Below are 25,055 nucleotides of genomic sequence, written 5' to 3'. Positions count from 1 at the left end.
CTTTCTATCTGCATTTAGTAAGGGGGAGAAAAAACAAGTATAAAGTGGACCAGCGCAGCTACTAGTGTTCAAGGGCAACCTTAGTTTACCTATTATAAAACAAGTGACTTAATATATTTAATACCACAAAATAACATATTTATTGTGTAATTCTGAGTTCTCTTGGGAAATAACTACCAGATTAATGAGTATTTTAAAATCTCTCTCTTTTTTTTTTAGATCGAATGGAGCTGTTAGAAATAGCAAAAACCAATGCAGCGAAAGCTCTAGGAACAACCAACATTGACTTGCCAGCTAGTCTCAGAACTGTTCCTTCAGCCAAAGAAACAAGCCGTGGAATAGGTGTATCAAGTAATGGTGCAAAGCCTGAAGTAAGTATTCTAGGTTTGTCGGAACAAAACTTTCAGAAAGCCAACTGTCAAATCTGATTAGCCACTTATATCTTAGACTATACTTTTTGGGAAGTCTAGAGATGTATATAATGTGCTAAATTCAAAGTAGCAAATCTGAAGATAGGCAATGTCAAACCCATGAAAATGGGAGATTAATGAGCTTTATTTGGCCGTGCATGGTGCCTCATGCCTGTAATGAGGCAGATGGCTTGAGTCCAGGAGTTCAAGACTAGCCTGGGCAATGTGGCAAAACCGCGTGTTTACAAAAAATACAAAAATTAGCCAGGCATGGTGGTGCATGCCTGTAGTCCCAGCTGTTTGGGAGGCTGAGGCAGGAGGATCTTTGAGCCTAGGATGCTAAGGTTGCAGTGAGCCAAGATGGCACCATTGCACTCTAGCCTGGGCAGCAGAGCGAGACCCTGTCTCAAAAAATACATTTATTTTTTTCATTTTCAGTTAACAGTGTACTCTTATAACACCGTTATTAGCTGGTACTTTGGTGATTTCTATTACTAGTTTTTCTAAGCTATTTACAGAGTGTTTGTAGCTTTCATTTGCAGCATTATGTTCCCACAAATTCTGTACTCAGCATATACAGTATAGTTTATCTGCTCTATTTCTGTCTTATAGAAATCATGAATGTGGTCTGCAGACATTGATGAAGAAAATCTGTTGGTAATTGATACATGGGCTAAAGCATCAGAGGTTTAATTTGAAGTTTATGTTCACACACTGAAAACTTAGTTTTTTTGTTGGTAGATCCATGTGCATGCTAGAATTTGGGACAGGCACTATTTGCATAAAGTATTAAAGTCAATTTTTAAACTAAGCAAAGGTACACGTTGTAACGGTGGGGCATCTGTGAAAAAGATGTCCCTTTCATAATATATGCAATATATTCCAGATGTTTTGAGAGATTACAGAAGAGGAGGCCTGCTTCACTTGCAGATAAGTTTATTATAATTCTCCAGAAATGTGCAGGATGTGCATTAGCAAATTGCACTGTACTTTTCACTCCAGCCTGGGTGACAGAGCAAGACTCCCGTCTCGGGGGCTTAAAAAAAAAAAATGCTGTATCTAAATGAATCTGTGTAATTGGGCCCAGATGTGGGTTTGCTCAGTATTAGTAGACAAGGTCTTTGTTCAGACGATTAGGTGCCTAACTGGCAAATGCCTTAGTTTCTTAAAACGTATTTTCTGATGTGGCTTTACATTTCAAAAGTGAACTTGATTCAACCTGAGAAAACTGATTAAAAAATTAGTTTAAATTTGCCAGCAGGGAAGTAAAATAATTATGGGAAGAGTGTCTTAAGCCTAATATTAAATCAGTTTTGTTAAGGGGAAAACTCAATAGTTCTGTTACTTAGGCTGTTAGATCCAAGTTGATTTTTGTGTCTACAGCTAAATTTTGTTTACAATTAGGCTATTTTTTAATATAGGATTTAGAAACCAAGGGTATGTGTTTTAAAATTACACTTTTTCTTAACCTGTCTAGCTGTCGGAAAAGGTAACAGAAGATGGAACTCGAAATCCCAATGAAAAACCTACCCAGCAAAGAAGCATAGCTTTTAGCTCTAATGTAAGTATATCCAGGCATTGAACACTCAAAAATTGGATTTAGGATGTATTTTTGCATCTTTGTGTTTTTATCTTTGTGGTGATAGTTGGGGGCCTACTGACACACTTTTTAAATAGAATTAAAATCATTTGTTTTTGAGCCACTTTTATAAGTGGCCATTATAATGGGTTTGTAATATATATAACATTCACGTTAGTTCCGATATTTTGCCATTCTTTTAAGTGTCCCCCCTTTTTTATTGAAATATTTTAAAGGGAAATCTTTAGAATACTCCTTAATCACAATGTTTTAAAATAAGAGTTTCAAAAACGAAGCCTCAAAATCATTATACCTTGTGTATCTTGTGTATGTCCAGTGTCTCCCTGCTGCCCCAGTATCTTCACTTCACTTTTTGAATCAAGCTACAATTAAGGTTCACACTATGTGTTTGGTTGATAATCCTTTTTTTTTTGTTTTGAGACAGAGTCTTGCTCTGTTGCCCAGGCTGGAGTGTAGTGGTGCAATCTTGGCTCACTGCAGCTTCTGCCTGCCTCCTGGGTTCAAGCGATTCTCCTGCCTCAGCCTCCCGAGTAGCTGAGACTACTGGCGCATGCCACCACGCCCGGCTAATTTTTGTATTTTTAGGAGACAGGGTTTCACCATGTTGGCCAGGATGGTCTACATCTGACCTCGTGATCCGCCCGTGTCAGCCTTCCAAAGTGCTGGGATTACAGGCGTGAGCCACCGCGCCCAGCAATTGATAATATCTCTAAGGCTCATACATGGGATTATTTAATGTACTTTTTTTTGTGAAAAAAGTGTACAATGTATGTTTGGGAAGCTGACTGAATTTGTTCTTTTACAGAATTCTGTAGCAAAGCCAATACAAAAATCAGCTAAAGCTGCCACAGAAGAGGCATCTTCAAGATCACCAAAAATAGATCAGAAAAAAAGTCCATATGGACTGTGGATACCTATCTAAAAGAAGAAAACTGATGGCTAAGTTTGCATGAAAACTGCACTTTATTGCAAGTTAGTGTTTCTAGCATTATCCCATCCCTTTGAGCCATTCAGGGGTACTTGTGCATTTAAAAACCAACACAAAAAGATGTAAATACTTAACACTCAAATATTAACATTTTAGGTTTCTCTTGCAGATATGAGAGATAGCACAGATGGACCAAAGGTTATGCACAGGTGGGAGTCTTTTGTATATAGTTGTAAATATTGTCTTGGTTATGTAAAAATGAAATTTTTTAGACACAGTAATTGAACTGTATTCCTGTTTTGTATATTTAATAAATTTCTTGTTTTCATTCTTAGTCTTTATTGTATATATATAACCTAATGGATCTTTATTTAATGTAGAGATATAAGGTGGTGTGTGTTGATTAAAGCCCTGTTAATCCCAAGTCCAAGGCTGACTGGCCCTACCTGAGATTTTGAGAAATGCTGAATCTCAAGTCCCTACCCTAGACCTGCTGAATTAGAAACTGAATTTTAACAATATTCCCAACTGAGGTCAATACTTCAACTTGAAAAATTGCCCTAAAAAATTTATGGAATACTGGGCTTCAAGGCAAGAAACTAAGCCAGAAAGAGGAGGAATAGAATGCCTCATTAAGCTGTAAAATCTGAGGTATAGTTAAAATTATTATGCTTTTAAAAAAGCATTCTAAGTAAACTTTTTTTTTGAGATGGAGTGCAGTGGTGCGATCTGGGCTCACTGCAAGCTCCACCTCCTGGGTTCACGCCATTCTCCTGCCTCAGCCTCCCGAGTAGCTGGGACTACAGGCGCCTGCCACCATGCCTGGCTAATTTTTTTGTATTTTTAGTAGAGATGGGGTTTCACCGTGTTAGGATGGTCTCGATCTCCTGACCTTGTGATCCACCCGCCTTGGCCTCCCAAAGAGCTGGGATTACACGTGTGAGCCACTGCACCCGGCCAAAGTATTCTAAATAAACTCTTAATTTGAAATGTATTGGTGCTACTGTAACTGGGAATGATTTTTTTTTGGAGACCGAGTCTCTCTCTGTCACCCAGGCTGGAGTGCAGTGGCACAGTCTCCACTCACTGCAACTTCCACCTCCCGGGTTCAAGCGATTCTCCTGCCTCAGCCTCCTGAGTAGCTGGGACTACAGGCATGTGCCCCCATACCCAGCTAGTTTTTGTATTTTTAGTAGAGACGGGGTTTTGCCATCTTGGCCTGGCTGGTCTAGAACTCCTGACCTCGGGTGATCCACCCTGCTCAGCCTCCCGAAGTGCTGGGATTACAGGTGTGAGCCACTGCACCCGGCTGGGAAGAATATGAAGCACGTTTTTTTTTTTTTTTTTTTTTTTGAGACGGAGTTTTGCTCTTGTTGCCCAGGCTGCAGTGCAATGGCACAATCCTGGCTCATCGCAACCTCCACCTCCTGGGTTCAAGCGATTATCCTGCCTCAGCCTCCCAAGTAGCTGGGATTACAGGCTTGTATTTTTAGTAGAGATGGGGTTTGTCCATGTTGGTCAGGCTGGTCTGGAACTCCTGACTTCAGGGGATTCACCAGCCTCGGCCTCCGAAAGTGCTGGGATTACAGGCGTGAGCCACTGCGCCTGACCGTTAAGCACATAAAATTTTAAGTGGGTATTACACTTTATGAACTGGAGAATCTTGACAGCTGGTCTAAGTAAGACTGATTTTTATAGACACTTTATTTTTTAGAGAAGGGGTTTCTTGCTCCATCACCCAGGCTGTAGTGCACAGTCACAGCTTGCTGCAACCTTGAACTCCAGGGCTCAGGGAATCCTGCCACAGCCTCTACCATACAGGCTTATGCCATCGCACCTGGCTAATTTTTTGGGGGTAAAGATGAGTGGGATTTCTGTTACCCTAGGCTGGTCTTCAAGCAGTCCTCCTGCTTCGGCGCCCCCAAAGTGTAGGCATTACAGGCGTGAGCCACTGTGCCTGGCCTAAAATAATAGTTTCACCAAATGTTTTAACTTTCTTACAAGGATATTTGGTTTTTGAAGGATGGCATTTTACAGAATGTTATTAAAGATCAGTGTCTATCTCCATGGTTTTGTTCCCATAAATGCACCTGGGCTATGCAATAGAGCGTGGAACAGGAAAGCACCTGTAATTGTGACCACTTCTGGGGAAGAAGAGGGACTAGGGTGAATTTCCTGTAGTCATTGTCACCTTCCTTTCACTACCTACATAGCTTGCAAGAAAAATTAGCACCCTACCTCTGAAGCTCCCAAGGTCAACTCTAGGCTTCACATTAAACACAAACAGAAGACAACCCAAGTGAATAATATACAGATAAACGTGGAAATATACACATTAGAACATTTCTTTACAAACTACAAACGCGCACGGACCTGGCCAGGCGGCAGGTCTGAGCTGGTGTCCGAGACTATGCATCCGTTTCCGGCGCAGCGCACGGGATCTGCGCAGTCTCCGTTCGCGCTTCTGGGCTCCGTAAGGAGAAGCGTCTTCAGACGGGGTGGCTTGGCTTCCGAGGCCCTCTGCTGGCGACCCAGTCCCAGTGTCTGCGTCTCCCTCTCCCCTGGCATCGTCTCCTCCTCTAGGACAGACGTAGCCACAAACGTCCCTACCTCGATACCCCCAGGGAAGGGCCTGCCACCCATCTTGTCAGCCACAGTCTCCGCCCTCCCCTGGCAACGCTTCCCTCCACTTCCGGTAACAATTAACTGGAACCCCGGGCCTCACTTTTCCGGACGTAACCCGGCCCTTCCTGGGGGACCCAGGCAATCCCCACCCCTGGCAGTCCTGGGCTGCGTCCGACTGGGCTAGGCCTGTGCGCAGGCGCATTGGGTGGAGAAACCCGGACCTGTGCTGGAGACGCGAGGACGAAGTGAGCTATGATCTCAGCCTCTCAGCCTGGGTGACAGTGAGACCTATCTCAAAAACAAAACTCTGAAGGCAGACTATCCCTCTCCTTCCTCAGATTTCCTTAAATGCCTTTCTTTAGGGAAGCCAGCTCACCACTTTAAAAGTCAGTTTCCTCTGTTACAGCTCTTCATACATTTTTACATTTTCTTCTTTGCAGCACTTACATACATGTAATTACATAAGTGTGGAGTTGCTTGTTTAATGTAGTTAATTTGGGGTTTTTTTGAACCCCAAATTTTGAACGGATCTCGCTCTATCGCCCAGGTTGGAGTGCAGTGGCGCGATCTCAGCTCACGGCAACCTCTGCCGCTTGGGTTCAAGTGATTCTCCTGTCTCAGCCTCCCGAGCAGCTAGAATTACAGGCGCCCGCCACCACGCCCGGCTAAATTTTGTATTTTTAGTAGAGACGGGGTTTCACCATGTTGGTCAGGCTGGCCTGGAATTCCTGACCTCAAGTGATCCGCCCACCTAGGCCTTACAAAGTGCTGGGATTACAGGCATAAGCCACTGAGCCCGGCCTAATGTAGTTAATTTAAATGAGACATTTCTTAACCTCTATTAAAATAGCAAATATTTGGCCAGGCACTGTGGCTTACTCCTGTAATCCCAGCACTTTGGGAGGCTGAGGTGGGAGGATTACCTGAGCCCAGGAGTTCAAGACCAGCCTGGGCAACAGAGCAAGACCCCGTCCCCTACCTCTGACCCTGCCAGCCCCTCAAAATTGAAGTATTAGCCGGACATAGTTGCAGGTGCCTGTAGTCGCAGCTACTCGGGAGGCTGAGATGGGAGTATCCTCTAGGAGGCAGAGGTTGCAGTGAGCCAAGATTGTGCCACTGCCCTCCAGCCTAGCCAACAGAGCAAGACCTTGTCTCAAAAAAAAAAAAAAAAAAAAAAAAAAAAGCAAATATAGCAGAGTAACAGGAATTTTCTCTATGTTATAGATGATTTGATAGAGCAATATTACAGGTATTTACATTCTTTAAGAATACAAAAATGTCAATTATAAACCAGGCATGGTGGCTCATGCCTGTAATCCCAACTACTCAGAGGAAGAGTCTGAGGATGGAGGATCACTTGAGGCTGGGATTTCAAAACCAGCCTAAATAACATAATGAGACCCTGTCTTTTAAAAATAAAGTCAATTATAAAATTATTTTCAGTAAGATCACTTATCAGAATTACAGGTTTTGAAAGTTATGTTACTAGGCTTACATATGCTAAGTAATTAAGGAGAGCTTAATAAAGGGACTGTTTACAAAGTTGTAGACTGGGTAAGAAAAACCAACCAGAGTGAAGCATACCAGCGCTATCAACAGGGGGATCCCTCACTACTACTACCCCAAAAGAGGCAAAAGAAGGGAGCAGCAATGGGAATCCAGAAAGTATAGGGTTAGGCCGGGCGCGGTGGCTCACGCCTGTAATCTCAACACTTTAGGAGACCGAGGCGGGTGGATCACCTGAGGTCAGGTGTTTGAGACCAGCCTGATCAACAAGGTGAAACTGTCTCTACTAAAAATACAAAAATGAGCCGGGCATGTTGGCAGGTGCCTGTAGTCCCAGCTACTCGGGAGGCTGAGACAGGAGGGATAGAAGATAGTCTTCAGACATAAGCGGTGACTACGGAAATATACCAAATCCGTAATCCAGCCAGGGAATAAATACCTTGACCTCATTTCTTCCAAACCTCTGATCTTATGTAGGTACTGTGCATTGGCAGGACCCAAGAAGGTAGAGGGCAAGAGAGTTTACTGATGCAGTTCATTCAGGCTAGCACTCAGGGACACAGAACATGGAGACCAATGGAGAGTAGTTCTAACAGGGCAGACAGAAAATATGTAGCACAAATTCTTTTTCAACAGGACATGGCAACAATTTAAAAAATTGGAGTCTTATAAGAAGTCTGTTCAAATTATATTTATACATATTTATTAACAAAGAACAGAACAAGTGATGTGTCTAATTGAATTTTTCTAGATGCTGGAAGATCTTCCATTCTATGTGCTAGTCTTACAATGTAACATTGGCACTCCTTCTATCTAGAAGTAGAGTCTGTATCCCTAATCCTTGAATCTGTGACTATGGAGGGAGTGACACTGTGAATTCTGAGACTAAGTCATAAAAAGTGAAACAGATTCCACCTAGTTCTCTTGGGATACTTGTTCTTAAAACCCAGCCCCCATGCTTTGAGGAAGTCCAGGCCAATGGAGAGGCCAGGTGTGGGCGTTCAGGCCTACAGCCAACATCAACCACAAGACTTCTGAGTGAGGAAACCTTTACAATGATTCCAGCCCCAGCCCCTAATCTGACTGCAACTGCATGAGAGACCCTGTGTGAGAACCACACCAATTCTCAGACCTATGAGAGATAATAATAAAATAATATTTGTGCTAAGGTACCAAGTTTTGGGATGATTTGTTATGCCACAATAGAGAAATGATACAGTTCATAACAGTTTTTTTTTTGTTTGTTTGTTTTATTTTGAGCCGGACTCTTGCTGTGTCGCCCAGGCTGGAGTGCAGTGGCGCCATCTGAGCTCACTGCAACCTCCGCCTTCTGGATTCAAGTGATTCTCCTGCCTCACCCTCCCGAGTAGCTGGGACTACAGGCGCACGCAGTCACGCCTGGCTAATTTTTTGTATTTTTAGTAGAGACGGGGTTTCACTGTGTTGACCAGGCTGGTGTGAAACTCCTGAGCTCAGGCAAATCACCCACCTCGGCCTCCCAAAGTGCTGGGATTACAGGCGTGAGCCACTGTAGCCAGCCCAGTTTTTAAAAATCACACAAATTATCATATTGCACAGAAAAGCAATGTTGAAAATCCTGTGAATACTCTTAATAAATCCTTACAAAATCAGTTGAGCAATTTTTACCACACATCTTTCCTTTCTATACTGCTTATCACTTCCAGAAACTTTAGTTAATTACAAACATTTCCATTTTTTTAAGTCCAGACTTGCAGATTTTAATTTGCAATATAAACAAATTGGTAATATAGAGCCCAATTTTACTGGCAGGAATAGGATTTTTTTTTTTTTTTTTCAAGACAGGGTCTCGCTCTGTCACCCAGGCTGAAGTGCAGTGGTGTGATCAGGGCTCACTGCAGCCTTGACCTCCCAGGCTCAAGCAATCCTCTCACCTCAGCCTCTCGAGTAGCTGGGACTACGGGGGCAGGCTACCATGCGTAGAGATGAGGTCTCGCTATGTTGCCAGGGCTGGTCTTGGACTCCTGCGCTCAAAGGATTCTCCTGCCTTGGCCTCCCAAAGTGCTGGGATTACAGGCTTGAGCCACCGTGCCAGCCAGGATTCTTAATAACAGTAAAATAAGAAGGATGTAAGCACTACTCTTCCCCAATAACTGAAATCCAAGAGGCACAAAACCACATGTAATTGTGTGGTTTTTTTTTTTTTTTTTTTGAGACGGAATCTGTGTCTCCCAGGAGTGCAGTGGCACAATCTGGGCTCACTGCAAGCTCCGCCTCCCGGGTTCACGCCATTCTCCTGCCTCAGCCTCCTGAGTAGCTGGGACTACAGGCGCCCGCCACCATGCCCAGCTAATTTTTTAGTAGAGACGAGGTTTCACCATGTTAGCCAGGATAGTCTTGATCTCCTGACCTCGTGATCCACCCGCCTTGGCCTCCCAAAGTGCTGGGATTACAGGTGTGAACCACCGCGCCCAGCCGCGATTCTATTTTTTATTCAGAAATACTGTTGACTATTCTTAGTTTTTCCATGCAAACTTTTAAATTTTTTTTAATTTTAGAATTGACACACTTATTTTTTATTTATTTTTTGAGACGGAGTTTCACTCTTGTTGCCCAGGCTGGAGTGCAATGGCGTGATCTCGGCTTACTGCAACCTCCACCTCCCCGGTTCAAGCAATTCTCCTGCCTCAGCCTCCAGAGTAGCTGGAATTACAGGTGCCCGCCACCACGCCAGGCTAAATTTTTTTATTTTTTTATTTTTTGTAGAGACGGGGTTTTGCCATGTTGACCAGGCTGGCCTCGAACTCCTGACCTCAGGTGATCTGCCTGCCTCGGCCTTACAAAGTGCTGGGATTACATGTGTGAGCCAAGGCGCCCGGCCGAAATACTTACATGGTTCAGAAGTACATATATCTTATTACACCCCCAAAACAGATGATGGCTTTTTTTTTTTGAGATGGAGTCTCCCTTTGTTGCCCAGGCTGGAGTGCAGTGGAGCGATCTTGGCTCACTGCAACCTCTGCCTCCCAGGTTCTAGCAGTTCTCCCACCTCAGCCTCCTTAGTAGCTGGGAATACAGCTGCGCACCACCATGCCCGGCTAATTTTTGTATTTTTAGTAGAGACGGGGTTTCACCGTGTAGGCCAGGCTGGTCTTGAATTCCTGACCTCAGGTGATCCGCCTGCCTCTCTCTGTCCTTTGTCCACAAGGACATTCCCTGTGAGGAAGGTAGGTAGCTTTTTTATCTTAGTGGCTTTTTCAGGTATAGAATGGGAGATAGGTTTGCCCTAAGCAGTTCCCAGCTTGACTTTTCCCTTTGGCTTAGTGATTTTGGGGCCCCAAGATTTATTTTCCTTTCAATGTGTAATTGTATCTGTAACATAAATTCCCAGAATTATGATAGCTGAGTCAAAGAGTAAATGCCTTAATTTTTACAGATATTGCCAAATTGTCTTCCCTAGGGGTTCAATCAATTTTTAGTCCTACCAGCAATATGTGTAGGATTCATTTTTCTTCGGTCTCATCAACACAATGTGTTATTGAACTTCTAAGATTTTTGCCACATTATTTTCCAGTTCCAAAAAACAAAAACAATGACCCACTGAGGTTCTGATGGGAATAACATGACATTTATAAACTCATTTGCGATACTCCTTTGTGATATTGTTTTTATAATATTAAGTCTTCCAACCAGAAAATAGGTTATCCACCATTTATTCAGATTTAATTTACTTCAAATTATCTTTTATTTTTATGTTACCATTTAAATTTTGTACCTAGGTATCTTTTCATTTTAGGGATTACTTTTCTTTTTTTTTTTGGTTTTTTGAGACAGAGTCTCGCTCTGTTGCCCAGGCTGGAGTGCAGTGGCGCAATCTCGGCTCACTGCAAGCTCTGCCTGCCGGATTCCCGCCATTCTCCTGCCTCAGCCTCCTGAGTAGCTGGGACTACAGGCGCTCGCCACCACGCCCGGCTAATTTTTTGTATTTTTAGTAGAGATGGGGTTTCACCGTGTTAGCCAGGATGGTCTTGATCTCCTGACCTCGTGATCTGCCCGCCTCGGCCTCCCAAAGTACTGAGATTACAGGCATGAGCCACTGCACCTGGCCTACTTTTTCATTTCTGTATCTAACTAGTAGTTGTTAGTGCAGAAAAAAATAATTTTCATATATTCCTCTTATATCCAGCACCTTACTTATCTTAGTAACTTTAGCACTGTTAGTAATTCTGGCATTGCCTCTCTGCTGAGCATGTAAGAGTAAACAAGATGGGTGGACTCTGCTGTTCTCCAGTAATAACGCTGATGAGAAAAATAGAAAATCAACAGACAAAAATAAAACTTATGCAATTGGAGAGAATTAAAATAGTGTCAAATGACAGTACTAAAAGTGAGACAGGGTAGTCAGGGAAGACCTGCTTCTATTTTTAAAAATTTATTTTTATGGCCAGGCACAGTGGCTCATGCCTGTAATCCCGGCACTTTGGGAGGCTGAGGTGGGCAGATCATGAGGTCAGGAGTTCGAGACCAGCCTGGCCAACATGGTGAAACCCTATCTCTACTAAAAATACAAAAATTAGCTGGGCATGGTGGCAGGCACCCGTAATCCCAGCTACTCGGGAAGCTGAGGCAGGAGAATCGTCTGAACCCGGGAGCCGGACGTTGCAGTAAGCCGAGATCGGTGCCACTGCACTCCAGCCTGGGTGATAGTGCAAGACTCTGTCTCAAAACAAAAAAACAAAAAAAAATTACTTTTATTTTTTAATTTAGAGACTGATTCTTACTTTGTTGTCCAGGCTGGTCTTGAACTCCTGGGCTCAAGCAATCCTCCCGCCTCCGCCCCGCAATGTGCTGGGATTGCAGCCATGAACCACCACACCAGGCCAAGGGCAAGACCTGCTTCTTGGAGAAAGTGACAACACCTTAAGCTCTAAATGGAAAGAACTTTCCACTCATGGGAATGAATGGCACTGCAGGTTTTTCCTGCTTACTGCAGACAAAACCAATTCACTGAAAAGTGCTACTGCAGTATACAGTTGTATTAACCTGAGGCTGGCCTCAGGGAAGAAGGGTTACCACTCAAGTAAGTTTTCCTGAAGGGTCAGCTCAGAGGTTAGGGTATTTCATAGTTTGGTGTGGGCAGGGCACTAGGGAATGGATGCTGCTGATTGGTTGGAGATGCAATCACAGGGGTGTGGACTACACTCCTCAACAGCTGAGTCCGCCTCTTGGGGGAGGAGTGGGACAGAAGAAGCGGTTGGGTCATGGGTCACGAGTCTGGGTGGGGTCAGTTAGTTGCCAGAATGCGAAAGTCTGAAAAATGCCTCAAAAGACCAATCTTAGGTGCTACGATAACGTTATCTACAGGAATAATTGGGGAAGTTACACATCCGATGTCCTCCGAAACAATGGCTGGTTATCGTTTACTACATTTTAGCAGAATTCTCCCCTCATAATCCTAACCTCCCGGTCTTTCATTAGTTTTATAAAGGCAGTTTCAGCCCCCAAACAAGGAGGGGCCCTGTTTAAGGAAGGGACTATGATCATCCTTGCTTAAAAGTTAAACTATAAATTCTCCCATGGTTAGCTTGGTTTATGCCCAGGAATGAGCGAAGACAGCCGGCCTGCGAGGCTAGAAGCAAGATGGAGTGAGCCATGTTAGATTTCTCTCACTGTCTTTGCAAAGGCGGTTTCCAGGAACAGCGTGCAGAATAGGGGGCTATCAGGCTCCTTTTGGTCATTTCTTCCTAGCCGTCCGATTCTGAGCTCTTCCCAACCCTTTTCTTGGCGACTTACCTCCCGCTGTCCTGGCCCACGCTACTTTTCGCGGCTGCGCAAGACCCTACGCAATCCAAAATATTTCATAGCTAAAAGGGTCCCAACTTCCGGAGACCTCCCGGAAGGGGCGGGGCTTATGGTAGCCCATTCGTACGTATCGGCCCGTTTGTCTGAAGGTTGACGGAAGTGCTCTATCTTGTTGCCGGAAGTGGGAAGAGAGAAAGGTTGTGATGGCGGCTATAGCTGCATCCGAGGTGAGTTCCACCCACCGTACACCGGGGGTTTTGTTGGTGAGGGTTCCGGGGAGCGGCCTGGAGAGAGGTGGAGGCGAAGTCTAGTTTCGCTTCAGGGAGGCTCAGACACTGTGGGGTCAAGTCGGCGGTGGAGGCCCTAGGCCCAGCCTGTGGGGACCGGCGGGGACTCGGCCTGGGCAGTCCTGGGAGAAGCTGAGCCGGCTCTGCCTGAAGCCAGTTCTCCTTGTCGCAGGTGCTGGTGGACAGCGCGGAGGAGGGGTCCCTCGCTGCGGCGGCGGAGCTGGCCGCTCAGAAGCGCGAACAGAGACTGCGCAAATTCCGGGAGCTGCACCTGATGCGGGTGAGTAGTCTTGGAGGCCGGCTTAGATCCGTCATCTGGCCAAGCCTGTGCGCTTTTGTAGAGGGGACGAGGAAGCCACACCACTGCGTCTGACAGACCAACAGAGCAGGATCATCTGAGAGGAAAGCTCTGTTCGGTGGTACTCAACCCTGGCAGCACATTGGGATCATTCTGAGAACATTTGAAAATATAACTGTTCACTCCAGCCCCTCTCCCACCCACATCCAATTTAATGTATCTGGGTTAGGTTTGGGAGTCTCCATTACTAACAACCTCCCTGCTCCGTGATTCCAACAAATTCTTCATTTTACCTAGGGAAATATGTAGAGCTAGAGACAGGAAGAAACTTGTCTAGTGTCAGTAAGAGACCTGGTTCACTTTAAAAAATAATAATCTTCTGTCAGAATCTGTTTGAGTGAAAAGAAAATAATCATCTGTTTTTGGGACTTCTGGGGGAAAAGAATAAAAAGAAAATAAAAAAAATGGCAAACTTTTGAAAGTCTACAGTGTGGTAGTTCAGCCAGTTGATAGGGAATCTGATGTTTAAGTGCCCTGGAGGTGCAGAGGAGGAGAGAGGAATGCAGTTTGTGGGTCTCCAGGGGGTGCCTCATGTAGTAGGTGACACCTAAACTACTGTTTGAAAGCCAGACAACTAAAGGAGTTAGAGAAAGAGATATCCAAGCAAAGGGAACAAATTCAAAGAAAGAGAATTTGTATTAGGGATAAGAGTCCAGCAAATAGCTTGCTGCAGTTGGAGCAGAGAAAGAGAAAAGCAGCCCCTGTTTCACCATGGAGTGACCTGACAGCTAGGCCATGGTTTCACAAAATCCCAAAATCACTCTGACTGTTGTAGTGAGACAAAACAAAGAAGACTTTTCAAATTACAAGAATGACCACATATTTCTTTCTTCTGACTAACACCAGTGACTGTTATTAACAAATACAGCATTAGTCTCACTCCGTTACTTCTGCCTCCTATATAAAAATGTAAGATACTGGGCCGGGTGCGGTGGCTCACGCCTGTAATCCCAGCACTTTGGGAGGCCGAGGAGGGCGGATCACAAGGTCAGGAGATCAAGACCATCCTGGCTAACACGGTGAAACCCCGTCTCTACTAAAAATAGAAAAAATTAGCCGGGCGTGCTGGCGGGCTACACGGGAGGCTGAGGCAGGAGAATGGCATGAGCCCGAGAGTCGGAGCTTACAGTGAGTCGAGATCACACCACTGCACTCCAGCCTGGGCGACAGAGCGAGACTCCATCTCAAAAAAAAAAAAAAAAAAAATCTAAGATACCTAATTGTAGAAAGCCCCTGCTTTCTGACAGTACCCAATCCACATCCTTAACCCTCCCCTCAGTCACCTGATACAAACCCAAATCCTGGAACAAGCCCTTCCTAACACCCTGTCACTCAAATGCCCACGGTTCCCCGTGGTTTGCTCTCTTCTGTGCAACAGACTCAACTTTGTTGACCGTAGGTATGTTCTTGGCGTCTTTAATTGCAGGGCTTTTCCAGGGCCAAGAATATACTAGGGATGGTAGTTGGGAGGAGTATCTCTCTTTGCCGAGGGAAAGTTAATCTAATAAACAATTAAAAAGACATGCTTAAATATTTAGAGTGATTGTGTAAGGAACACATGTCTGGAAATTAGGAGGCGGGGCTTCCTGGACAAACTGCCACCAGCTTATGACCTAAGGAATGTCTAACTCAAGTTTTCCTTAAGACGATACACTCATTTTGCTTTATGCAATTAAGTTTATTTAAAAATAGACTCTTCTCCCTGCTACCCCAGCTCCAAAAAAAAAAAAAGACTCTTCAATGATACTTCAAATGGAAAATTCCTTTCATTTTTCATTTGTCAATGCAAACTGTGAAAATATTTAAAAGGAGGGGAACTTGGAAAGCATTAGAGGCATTAAGATAGGTTTTAAATCCTCTAACCCAAATTGAGGCTTTTTTCTTGAATTAGGATTAAAAGATAATTGAGGCCTGGTGTGGTGGCACATGCCTGTAATCCCAGCACTTTGGGAGGTCCAGGCGGGCAGATCACTTGAGGCCAGGAGTTTGAGACCAGCCTGGCCAAACTGCAAAACCACGTTTCTACCAAAAATACAAAAAAATAAGCCAGGCATTGTGGCACACGCTTGTAACCCCAGCTACTCGGGAGGCTGAGGCATGAGAATTGTTTGAACCCCAGAGGCGAAAGTTGAAATGAGCTGAGATGGCTCCACTGTACTCCAGCTTGGGTGACAGAGTGAGACTCTGTCTCAAAAAAAAAAAAGAAAGAGTGTCTTTCACATCATGTGACGTAATTTTTTTTTTTTTTTTTGAGATGGAGTCTCGCTCTGTCACCCAGGCTGTAGTGCAGTAGTGCAATCTCAGCTGACTGCAACCTCTGCCTCCTGGGTTCAAGTGAATCTCCTGCCTCAGCCTCCCGAGTAGCTAGGATTACAGGTGTGCACCACCATGCCTCGCTAATTTTTGTATTTTTAGTAGAGACGGGGTTTCACCATGTTGGCCAGCCTGGTCTTGAACTTCTGACCTCAGGTGATCCACCTGCCTCAGCCTCCCAAAGTGCTAGGATTACAAGCGTGATCCACTGCACCTGGCCAATTTAATAGTAATGCCAAATAAAGTCTACTTAAGTGCCACTATAGTATGGTCTCCAATACTGCAAAACCTTGTTCTGATCCAATAAAAAGGGACCACACAACTCAATAGAGGCAAAGCTGATTTTAACCTCCAGGGCTCTGGAACAGCAAACCAGTGCAACTCAACACATTTTTCTTGACTGCATAAAAACGTAGACCCTATTAGGCTATTCCCTGGCTTAAAATCCTGTGATGGCTCTCTATTGCTTTTAGGATAAAATGGGGTCAGCTTATTAATATGTCCTGCCTGACCCTCCTCAAAGAAGGCAAGGTGTATCTGGATTTATTTTCATGTTTTAGCTGACAGACTTCTTGTGTTACGGTTTTAGAATGAAGCTCGTAAATTAAATCACCAGGAAGTTGTGGAAGAAGATAAAAGACTAAAATTACCTGCAAATTGGGAAGCCAAAAAAGCTCGTTTGGAGTGGGAACTAAAGGAAGAGGAAAAGAAAAAGGTTAGGAACTATTCTATCTTCATAAGTGATTTAGTCAATCATTCTGTTGTATCAAGACACTACAACATGGTGGTTGTATACACTGGCTCTTAGGCCAAGCTGCCAGAATTGAAATTCTGGCTCTGCTCAGTACCAACTGCAACACGTTGGGTGAGTTTATTTAACTTCTCTGTACCTCTGTTTTCTCATCAATAAAACAGGGACTGTAACAATAATTATTTGAGTTCATTATGAATTAAGTGAGTTAATGCATGTAAAACATTTAAAACAAGGTCTGACACCTGATAAACACTCAATAAGTATCATGTGCTCACTTATATACCATAGTATATTCCCAAATTTCCTTTAAATGCTATTAAAGTGGCCGGGTGCAGTGGCTCATGCCTGTAATCCCAGCACTTTTGGGAGGCCGAGGCTGGCAGATCATTTGAGGTCAGGAATTTGAGACCAGCATGGCCAACATGGTGAAACCCCATCTCTACTAAAAATACAAAAATTAGCCGGGCATGGTGGCATGTGCCTGTAGTCCCAGCTACTTGGGAGGCTAAGAGATGAGAATCCCTTGAACCTGGGAGGTGGAGGTTGCAGTGAGCTGAGATCGCGCCACTGCACTCCAGCCTGCGTGACAGAGTGAGTGAAACTCCAACTAAAAAAATACTATTAAAGTATTGGTTGATATTTATTGGATCTTTCTTGATGTAAAGTAGATCAAATTATTGCATGTATCATAATTGTAGGTGTCAGCTTTTTTCTTCTTTTTAGGAATGTGCGGCAAGAGGAGAAGACTATGAGAAAGTGAAGTTGCTGGAGATCAGTGCAGAAGATGCAGAAAGATGGGAGAGGAAAAAGAAGAGGAAAAACCCTGATCTGGGATTTTCAGGTCAGATTGACCTTTATTGAACCTTATTGACTGGGCTGTTAGTCATTTCCTTCATTGTTTCTGGTTTCAAGAAAGGATGTGCCTCTTGTGCTTCGTGGGATATTCTTGATGAGGCTTAAGACCAAGAAAAGTACAAATATGTCTCTTAGGAGAGAAGTTAAAAAAAAAGGCTGTACTTCAGTTAGCCAGGTTTTTAAATACTTGATGATAAAATTTATCAAAGTCTGTTTGTCAGCATCTTCAGGATAGAAGCTATGCTTAGAATAGTGTTATGGGCATATATTACTTCACACAGATTGAGTATCCCTAGTATGAAAATCTGAAATCCCAAATGTTGCAAAATCCAAAACTGTTTGAATGCCAACATGGTGCTATGATGCTCAAAGGAAATGCTGATTGGAGCATTTCAGATTTTGAATTTAAGTATAATAAAGATATTCCAAAATCTGAAAAAAATCAGAAACACTTCCGATTCCAAGCGTTTTGGATAAAAGATACTCACCTGTGATAATTTAGATTTTTCTCTCAATAGGAAGGTCCAAACAAGGAAATATATTATCGCTGATTCTCATTTTATATTTTTAGATTATGCTGCTGCCCAGTTACGCCAGTATCATCGGTTGACCAAGCAGATCAAACCTGACATGGAAACATATGAGAGACTGAGAGAAAAACAGTAAGTCCTTTTTCAACCTGAGGTGATGTGGATGTATTTGTGTGTGTGTGTGTGTATACATGTACATAAATAGAAACATGCTTTAATGCTAAGGTATGGGTTATTAATAGTTGTCTAAGGATGGTCTCTGTTTTTTCTGGATATTTTTTTCCTTTGAGATGGAGTCTTGCTTTCTCACCCAGGCTGGAGTGCAGTGAATGGTGCGGTCTCAGCTCACTGCAACCTCCGCCACCTGGGTTCAAGCAATTCTTCTGCCTCAGCCTCCTGAGTAGCTGGGATTACAGGCGCCCGCCACCACGCCCAACTAATTTTTGTAGTTTTAGCTGAGATGGGGTTTCACCACGTTGGCCAGGCTGGTCTTGAACTCCTGACCTCAAGTGATCCGTCCACCTCAGCCTCCCAAAGTGCTGGGATTACAGGCGTGAGCTACTGCGCCCGGCCCTTCCTTTTTTTTTTTTTAAGAGACGGTGTCTCGCTCTGTTGCTTAAGCTGGAGTGCATTGACACTGTCATAACTCACTGTAACCTCAAACTTGTGGCCTCAAGGGATCCTCCCACATCAGCCTCCCCAGTAGCTAGGATTACAGACATGTGCCACGATTCCTGGCTAATTAATTTTTTTGTGGAGACGGGGTCTCACTGTGTTGCTCAGGCTGTCTCAAACTCCTGGCCTCAAGTGATCCTCCATCCTTGGCCTCCCACATGGTTGAGATTACAGGTGTGAGCCACTGTGCCAGGCCTAGTCTCTGTTTTGACAGCACTGTTTATTGCTTACTTCACAGCTATTAAATTAATCACATGTTTTTTGTTTTGTTCTTAACTGGGCATTCTAAGACTGGTTGTTGATTGGTTAACACCCTGATTGTCGTAGTTACTTAGATATTATTTTAGGAGGCAGAATGCTTTAGTGCTGGGGTTGGTGAACTTTTTCTGTGAAGGACCAGATAGTAAATATTTTAGCTTTGTGGGCCATATAGTCTCTGTCACAGCTATTCAGCTGTGCTGCTGCAGTGCAAAAGCAGCTGCAGAGAATTCATAAATGAAGCCTCTTTTCATAAACAGGTGGTGGGCTGCTGTAGTTTGGCAGCTTGTTTTAGTGGAAAAGGAAATAACCTCAGGATGGAGCTCTAATCCCAGCTCTGTTCCTAGCACTTTGTGACCTCTGATAAGTCCTGGAGCCTCTCTGCCTGTTGGCTCTTTGATCTGTACAGTGAAGGTGTTGGCGTAGATGATGTCTTAGGTTCCTTTCAATTCTGTAATTTTTTATTTTTTATTTTTATTTTTATTTTTTTTTTGAGATAGAATCTCGCTCTGTCGCCCAGGCTGGAGTGCAGTGGTGCAATCTTGACTCACTGCAGCCTCCGCCTCCTGGGTTCAAGTGATTCTTCTGCCAAGTAGCTGGGACTACAGGTGCCCGCCACCACGCCTGGCTAATTTTTTTGTATTTTTAGTAGAGATGGGGTTTCACCATGTTGGCCAGGCTGGTCTTGAACTCCTGACCTCAGGTGATGTGCCCACCTTGGCCTCCCAAAGTGCTGGGATTATTGGTGTGAGCCACTGCACATGGCCCTATTTTTTTTTTTTTGAGACAGAGTCTTGCACTGTCGCCTGGGCTAGAGTGCAGTGGCGTGATCTCGGCTCACTGCAACCTCCGCCTCCCGGGTTCAAGCAATTCTCCTGCCTCAGCCTCCCAAGTAGCTGGGATTACAGGCATCTGCCACCACGCCCAGCTAATTTTTGTATTTTTAGTAGAGATGGGGTATCACCATGTTGGCCAGGCTGGTCTCAAACTCCTGACCTTGTGATCCGCCCACCTCAGCCTCCCAAAGTGCTGGGATTACAGGCGTGAGCCACTGCGCCTGGCCTCCACATGGTCCTATTTTAATTCTTTTAATTAAAAAAAATTTTTTTTTTTGAGACGGAGTCTTACTTTGTCGCCCAAGCTGGAGCACAGTGGGGCGATCTTGGCTCGCTGCAGCCTCCACCTCCCGGGTTCAAGTGCTTCTCCTGCCTCAGCCTCCCAAGTAGCTGGGACTACAGGTGTGTGTCACCACGCCCGGCTAATTTTTATATTTTCAGTCTCTACTGGGTTTTGCCATGTTGGCCAGGCTGGTCTTGAACTCCTGACCTCAAACGATCCGCCTGCCTTGGCCTCCCAAAGTGCTGGGATTACAGATGTGAGCCACTGCACCCAGCCTGTATGTTTTTTTAAAAAAAAATTAAAGTAGGATCTCACAGTAAATGTATGTGTATACTTTCTTATCATGTATGGTACTTTAGTTTGAAATTTGAAAATGGAGCATTTATAGTGTTACTGTAAGTTCATTTTGCTGCCTTTTCAGTGGAGAAGAGTTTTTCCCAACATCCAATAGTCTTCTTCATGGAACACATGTGCCTTCCACAGAGGAAATTGACAGGATGGTCATAGATCTGGAAAAACAGTAAGTATTCAGTAGAGCAGCTTGACGTTGTAAATACTTCATGACAAAATGCACTTAGAATATGCACCTATATCTGACGTGCTTAGAATGAATTCAAAAGATAGAAATTGTACAGTTATACTTGCTAATTTTTGACCTGTCTATAGTGGCTTGGGGATGGATAGCAAGTGTGGGTTGAATATATCTGATTTGGAATGGAGATGAAGAATGTTGATGAAACTGAATTGTTAATATTGAAGGGGAAAGGTCTAAAAAAAATGATCCTTCTTTAAGGATTTTACTTTAACCACTCCCCTGTTTGATTTGAAGAAGCAAGAATGTTGTAGTAAATGTTCCTCGCTTAGGTTTGTGTTTCTTAATACTGATAGAGGCGACTATTAGGTAGAGCAGAATGAAAATATATTTTAGGAGTTAATACATGAAAAGTATTAAGAATAGTGTCTGGGCTGGGCGTGGTGGCTCCTGCCTATAATCCTAGCACTTTGGGAGGCTGAGGCAGAAGGATTGCTTGAGCCCAGGACTTTGAGAACAGCCTGGGCAACATGGCAAAACCCTTTCTCTACAAAAAATATACAGGAATTAGCTGGGCATGGTGGTACGTGCCTGTAGTCCTAGCTACTTGGGAGACTCAGTCAGGAGGATCACTTGAGTCCAAGAAGTGGAGGGTGCAGTGAACTGTGATTGCATCACTGCACTCCAGCTTGGGCGACAGAGCGAGACCCTGTCTCAGGAAAAAAAAAAAGTGTCTGGCACATATTATGTGCTCAGTATTAGCTGTGGTTATTATTTAATATAATTTTTTTTTTTTGAGACGGAGTCTCACTCTATTGCCCAGGCTGGAGCGCAGTGTCACGATCTTGGCTCACCACAACCTCCACCTGCCAGTTTCAAGCGATTCTCTTGCCTCAGCCTCCTGAGTAAATGGGACCACAGGCGTGTACCACCACTCCTGGCTAATTTTTGTATTTTTAGTAGAGACGGGGTTTCGTCATGTTGACCAGGCTGGTCTCAAACTCCTGGCCTCAGGTGATCTACCTGCCTTGGCCTCCCAAAGTGCTGGGGTTACAGGCATGAGCCACTGCGCCTGGCCTATTTAATATTGTTATAGTTATCTTCTTTTTTAGAAAATGTATTCAAAAAAATTTTTTTTATAGTGATGGAGTCTTCCTATGTTGTCCAGGCCCTGGTCTGGAACTCCTGGGCTCAAGTGATCCTCCCAGAGGACCTTTTGGGAGGCCTTGTCCTCCAAAAGTAGTGGGATTACAGGCATGGGATTACAGCCGCCATGCCCAGCCAATAGTTATCTTCTTCAGTACAGTCAAGTTCCCAACAATGAGTCATCGCTCTAGCATTCTGAAGATGAATTTGTATTTACTGGATTTCACAGTTCATATTCTGAGTTGTGCCATTAATTCAGTTTCAACTTTAACTTGATGAAAACTCTCCTGGCTTCCTCTAGCCCTCACAACATGTGCTATTCTAAACGTGATTATATTCCTGTTTGGTTGTGTTTTATTAAGATCAAAAGAGAAGGCAATTTTGAATTTTGTAAATTTTCTTCTTTCCCCAGGATTGAAAAACGAGACAAATATAGCCGGAGACGTCCTTATAATGATGATGCAGATATCGACTACATTAATGAAAGGAATGCCAAATTCAACAAGAAAGCTGAAAGATTCTATGGGAAATACACAGCTGAAATTAAACAGAATTTGGAAAGAGGAACAGCTGTCTAATCCCTTCAAGAACTGTTTATAGAAGCTTGAGAATGGGGTAAAAATTTCTGCTAGCAAAATCAAGTTCTTTTTGAAATTTTATCAGTAATCCAGAATTTAGTAGTCCATGCCTTCTCACTCAGCATTTAGAAATAAAAATGTGGTTTCTTAAACGTATATCCTTTCATGTATATTTCCACATTTTTGTGCTTGGATATAAGATGTATTTCTTGTAGTGAAGTTGTTTTGTAATCTACTTTGTATACATTCTAATTATATTATTTTTCTATGTATTTTAAATGTATATGGCTGTTTAATCTTTGAAGCATTTTGGGCTTAAGATTGCCAGCAGCACACATCAGATGCAGTCATTGTTGCTATCAGTGTGGAATTTGATAGAGTCTAGACTCGGGCCACTTGGAGTTGTGTACTCCAAAGCTAAGGACAGTGATGAGGAAGATGGCAGTGGCCACCGGAGGACTGGAGCAGTCCCTCCTCATGGCGGCCTGTGACCAAGGTCGGGGAGGAGTGGAGCTATCCTTCCATGATCTGATCATGTACAGTTCCCTTTTTAAAAAGCAATAAATGCTTGGGATTAGAATTTCTAACATTTTTAGTCTATCATTTAAAACAAACATTTGTATATATACATTTGTTTATATACATACATGCTTCCATTCTACAAACACTGAAAGAATATTTTATTATGGGAAATTCCATACACCCAATACCCCTGGTGAGTCCCATATACCCAGTACCCTGTTCAACAATCATTAACTCATGGCCAGTCCTGCTTCATCTTTATTTCCATTTACTTTCTTCATGACTCTTATTTTGACGCATATACTAGATATATAATTTCATCTATAATTATTTTAGTATGTATCTCTGAAAGATAAAGACTTAAATGACCACAATACTATTATCACTGCAATAGATTTATTTTTATAAAACTCCAGAGGGAAAGGTTGTTATTTTTTCTCTATGTTGAATTAAATGCTAAATATCTAATTGGGATATTTTAAATTCAAAGAAATCTGAAGCTCAGAAAATTTCAAATATTGGCCGGGTGTGGTGGCTCAACGCCTGTAATCCCAGCACTTTGCGAGGCTGAGTCAGGTGGATCACTTAAGATCAGGAGTTTGAGACCAGTCTGATCAACATGGTGAAGTCCCATCTCTACTAAAAATACAAAAATTAGCTGGGCATGGTGGTGGGTGCCTGTAATCCCTGCACTTTGGGAGGCTGAGGCAGGAGAATTGCTTGAACCTGGGAGGCAGAGGTTGCACTAAGCCGAGATCACGCCACTATACTCCAGACTGGGTAACAGAGCAAGACTCTGTCTCGAAAAAAAATTCAAATACTTCAACTTTAGTATGATGCCACTGGTGATTAATTATTCTCTTTTTAAATTAGTAGCACTTCAGAAAAAATTTCTGTTCTCCTTTTGTTTCCTCTCCTGGCATTTCTTTTCTTTTTTTTTTTTTCATACCCACCTGCAACGTGAAAAAGGACATAACAGAAGGTAATTTATTTTTCTGTAGAGACGGGGTCTCACCATGTTGCCCAGGCTGGTCTCAAACTTGGGCTCGAGCTGTCTTCCTGCCTTGGCCTCCCCAAAGTGCTGGGATTACAGGTATGAGCCACTGAGCCCAGCTCCTCTCCTGGCATTTCTATGTGCATTTAATCACAGATCTATCACAAAGCACTGATGCCTCTGAAAATACTTTGACTATGTTTCAATCTTTTTATTCCCATTTCCATTACCTTAGGTCTTTGATCCTGAATATCGCAATAGCCTTAAAAAACACCTTAAAAATATTGTTGAATAGAATATGGCAATGTATTTAAAGGAACAATTCACTGTGACTCAGCAGGGTTTGTTCTAAGAATGCAAGAATAGTGTTTTAGACTATGAATTGCCTGGTTTAATTTAATTTTTTTTGAGAGAGTCTCGCACTGTTGCCCAGGCTGCAATGCAGTGGCAGGATCTCAGCTCACTGCAACCTCCGCCTCCCAGATTCAAGTGATTCTCCTGCCTCAGCCTCCTGAGTAGCTGGGACTACAGGCTTGCACCACCACGCCTGGCTAATTTTTCTATTTTTAGTAGAGACGGGGTTTCACCATGTTGGTCAGGCTGGTCTTGAACTCCTGACCTTGTCATCTACCTGCCTCGGCCTAATTTAATTCTTTATTACCAACCAGCACGCAGATTTTTTTTGTGAATTTGTTGTAATATTTCCAGGTAAACGCTTAGTTCCCCAGGCTGACTTACTATTATAGGTGGTCAGATGTTATAATTCTGGCTAATAGGACACACGCTAAATTTATCTTGAGAAACCTTTTCTTTCCTGATATGGGAGGAGGTGCTGCTCCTCCCTTTCTCCTGCCTTCCTTGTTGGATCACATCCAGGAGGCCTGGAGTTGCAGAAGCCCTTTTGTGTCATGAAGTAGCAAGCATGAGGGCGAAAGTCAGCATGAAGAGGAGAGTGGAGTAAAGCTTGTGTTGCAGTGCTGAGCATCTGCACCTAGATGCTCACCTCTTTTACCCTTACTTGCTGTTGAATAAATTTATTAGGTTGGTGCAAAAGTAATTGCAGTTTTTGCCATTACTATTTTTTTTTTTTTTTTTTTGAGGTGGAGTCTTGCTGTGTCACCTAGGCTGGAGTGCAGTGGCACGATCTCGGCTCACTGCAACCTCCGCCTCCCGGGTTCTGGCAGTTCTCCCGTTTCAGCCTCCCAAGTAGCTGGGATTGCAGGCACCTGCCACCATACCTGGCTAATTTTTGTATTTTTAGTAGGGATGGGGTTTCCCCGTGTT

General features: G+C 43.5%; 2 protein-coding genes and 1 long non-coding RNA gene across 20 annotated transcripts in view, besides 11 other annotated features; 2 read left to right on the top strand and 1 right to left on the bottom strand.

Annotated features, from left to right (window-relative positions):
* The window catches only part of RSRP1 (arginine and serine rich protein 1), a 96,006-nt gene extending 92,734 nt beyond the window's left edge, over positions 1 to 3,272 (top strand). For 4 of the 16 annotated variants that reach the window (NR_135788.2, NR_135789.2, NR_135777.2 and 1 more), the window contains exons 3-4: positions 220 to 1,971; positions 2,816 to 3,272. Coding sequence is in view for 2 of the 16 variants with exons in the window: in NM_001321772.2 (NP_001308701.1) it covers positions 220 to 371; positions 1,888 to 1,971; positions 2,816 to 2,932 (353 nt within the window). In the remaining 14 variants the exon portion in view is untranslated. The remainder of the gene's footprint in view (positions 1 to 219; positions 1,972 to 2,815) is intronic. The other 12 variants (NR_135787.2, NR_135781.2, NM_001321772.2 and 9 more) reach the window with 10 other exon arrangements.
* Positions 5,145 to 5,344: an enhancer, noted in NCBI's record as "active region_456". NCBI's record gives its function as "activates an Ori minimal core promoter by ATAC-STARR-seq in GM12878 lymphoblastoid cells {active_cell/tissue: GM12878}" and the evidence as "EXISTENCE:reporter gene assay evidence [ECO:0000049][PMID:35858748]".
* Positions 5,145 to 5,941: a biological region, named in NCBI's record as "H3K27ac-H3K4me1 hESC enhancer GRCh37_chr1:25566071-25566856".
* Positions 5,156 to 5,941: an enhancer, noted in NCBI's record as "H3K27ac-H3K4me1 hESC enhancer chr1:25566071-25566856 (GRCh37/hg19 assembly coordinates)". NCBI's record gives its function as "activates a minimal SCP1, AML or CMV promoter by ChIP-STARR-seq in primed H9 embryonic stem cells {active_cell/tissue: H9 hESC(primed)}" and the evidence as "EXISTENCE:reporter gene assay evidence [ECO:0000049][PMID:30033119]".
* Positions 5,248 to 12,932, bottom strand: LOC124903881 (uncharacterized). 2 transcript variants are annotated; one of them, XR_007065555.1, is made up of 2 exons: positions 12,842 to 12,932; positions 5,248 to 5,517 (listed from the first exon to the last, which is right to left on the bottom strand). It is a non-coding gene; the product is annotated as an uncharacterized LOC124903881 (long non-coding RNA). The 2 variants fall into 2 exon arrangements; XR_007065554.1 differs by lacking the exon at positions 5,248 to 5,517 and adding an exon at positions 10,746 to 11,944.
* Positions 5,415 to 5,464: an enhancer, noted in NCBI's record as "active region_455". NCBI's record gives its function as "activates an Ori minimal core promoter by ATAC-STARR-seq in GM12878 lymphoblastoid cells {active_cell/tissue: GM12878}" and the evidence as "EXISTENCE:reporter gene assay evidence [ECO:0000049][PMID:35858748]".
* Positions 5,485 to 5,614: an enhancer, noted in NCBI's record as "active region_454". NCBI's record gives its function as "activates an Ori minimal core promoter by ATAC-STARR-seq in GM12878 lymphoblastoid cells {active_cell/tissue: GM12878}" and the evidence as "EXISTENCE:reporter gene assay evidence [ECO:0000049][PMID:35858748]".
* Positions 5,835 to 5,884: a silencer, noted in NCBI's record as "silent region_452". NCBI's record gives its function as "represses an Ori minimal core promoter by ATAC-STARR-seq in GM12878 lymphoblastoid cells {active_cell/tissue: GM12878}" and the evidence as "EXISTENCE:reporter gene assay evidence [ECO:0000049][PMID:35858748]".
* Positions 5,942 to 6,728: an enhancer, noted in NCBI's record as "H3K27ac-H3K4me1 hESC enhancer chr1:25565284-25566070 (GRCh37/hg19 assembly coordinates)". NCBI's record gives its function as "activates a minimal SCP1, AML or CMV promoter by ChIP-STARR-seq in primed H9 embryonic stem cells {active_cell/tissue: H9 hESC(primed)}" and the evidence as "EXISTENCE:reporter gene assay evidence [ECO:0000049][PMID:30033119]".
* Positions 11,996 to 12,909: an enhancer, noted in NCBI's record as "NANOG-H3K27ac-H3K4me1 hESC enhancer chr1:25559103-25560016 (GRCh37/hg19 assembly coordinates)". NCBI's record gives its function as "activates a minimal SCP1, AML or CMV promoter by ChIP-STARR-seq in primed H9 embryonic stem cells {active_cell/tissue: H9 hESC(primed)}" and the evidence as "EXISTENCE:reporter gene assay evidence [ECO:0000049][PMID:30033119]".
* Positions 12,562 to 12,811: an enhancer, noted in NCBI's record as "active region_453". NCBI's record gives its function as "activates an Ori minimal core promoter by ATAC-STARR-seq in GM12878 lymphoblastoid cells {active_cell/tissue: GM12878}" and the evidence as "EXISTENCE:reporter gene assay evidence [ECO:0000049][PMID:35858748]".
* SYF2 (SYF2 pre-mRNA splicing factor) lies at positions 13,019 to 23,245 on the top strand. Of its 2 annotated transcripts, NM_015484.5 has the most exons (7): positions 13,019 to 13,077; positions 13,310 to 13,417; positions 16,398 to 16,523; positions 17,286 to 17,403; positions 17,989 to 18,079; positions 20,421 to 20,519; positions 22,090 to 23,245. In NM_015484.5, exons 1-7 carry the CDS (start codon positions 13,054 to 13,056, stop codon positions 22,253 to 22,255), a joined length of 732 nt encoding a protein of 243 aa, NP_056299.1. In that variant the 5' UTR covers positions 13,019 to 13,053; the 3' UTR covers positions 22,256 to 23,245. The 2 variants fall into 2 exon arrangements, with proteins under 2 accessions (NP_056299.1, NP_997053.1); NM_207170.4 differs by lacking the exon at positions 16,398 to 16,523.
* Positions 13,052 to 13,201: an enhancer, noted in NCBI's record as "active region_452". NCBI's record gives its function as "activates an Ori minimal core promoter by ATAC-STARR-seq in GM12878 lymphoblastoid cells {active_cell/tissue: GM12878}" and the evidence as "EXISTENCE:reporter gene assay evidence [ECO:0000049][PMID:35858748]".
* Positions 16,793 to 17,992: an enhancer, noted in NCBI's record as "CDK7 strongly-dependent group 2 enhancer chr1:25554020-25555219 (GRCh37/hg19 assembly coordinates)". NCBI's record gives its function as "activates an origin of replication core promoter dependent on BRD2, BRD4, P300/CBP, MED14 and CDK7 cofactors, with strong dependence on CDK7, by STARR-seq in HCT116 cells {active_cell/tissue: HCT116}" and the evidence as "EXISTENCE:reporter gene assay evidence [ECO:0000049][PMID:35650434]".
* Positions 23,246 to 25,055: the final 1,810 nt, after the last annotated feature.

This window comes from Homo sapiens, chromosome 1, assembly GCF_000001405.40.
Source record: "Homo sapiens chromosome 1, GRCh38.p14 Primary Assembly".
Lineage (NCBI taxonomy): Eukaryota > Metazoa > Chordata > Mammalia > Primates > Hominidae > Homo > Homo sapiens.
The sequence above is the reverse complement of the archived record's forward strand: the minus strand, read 5'-3'. Positions and strand labels throughout refer to the sequence as shown.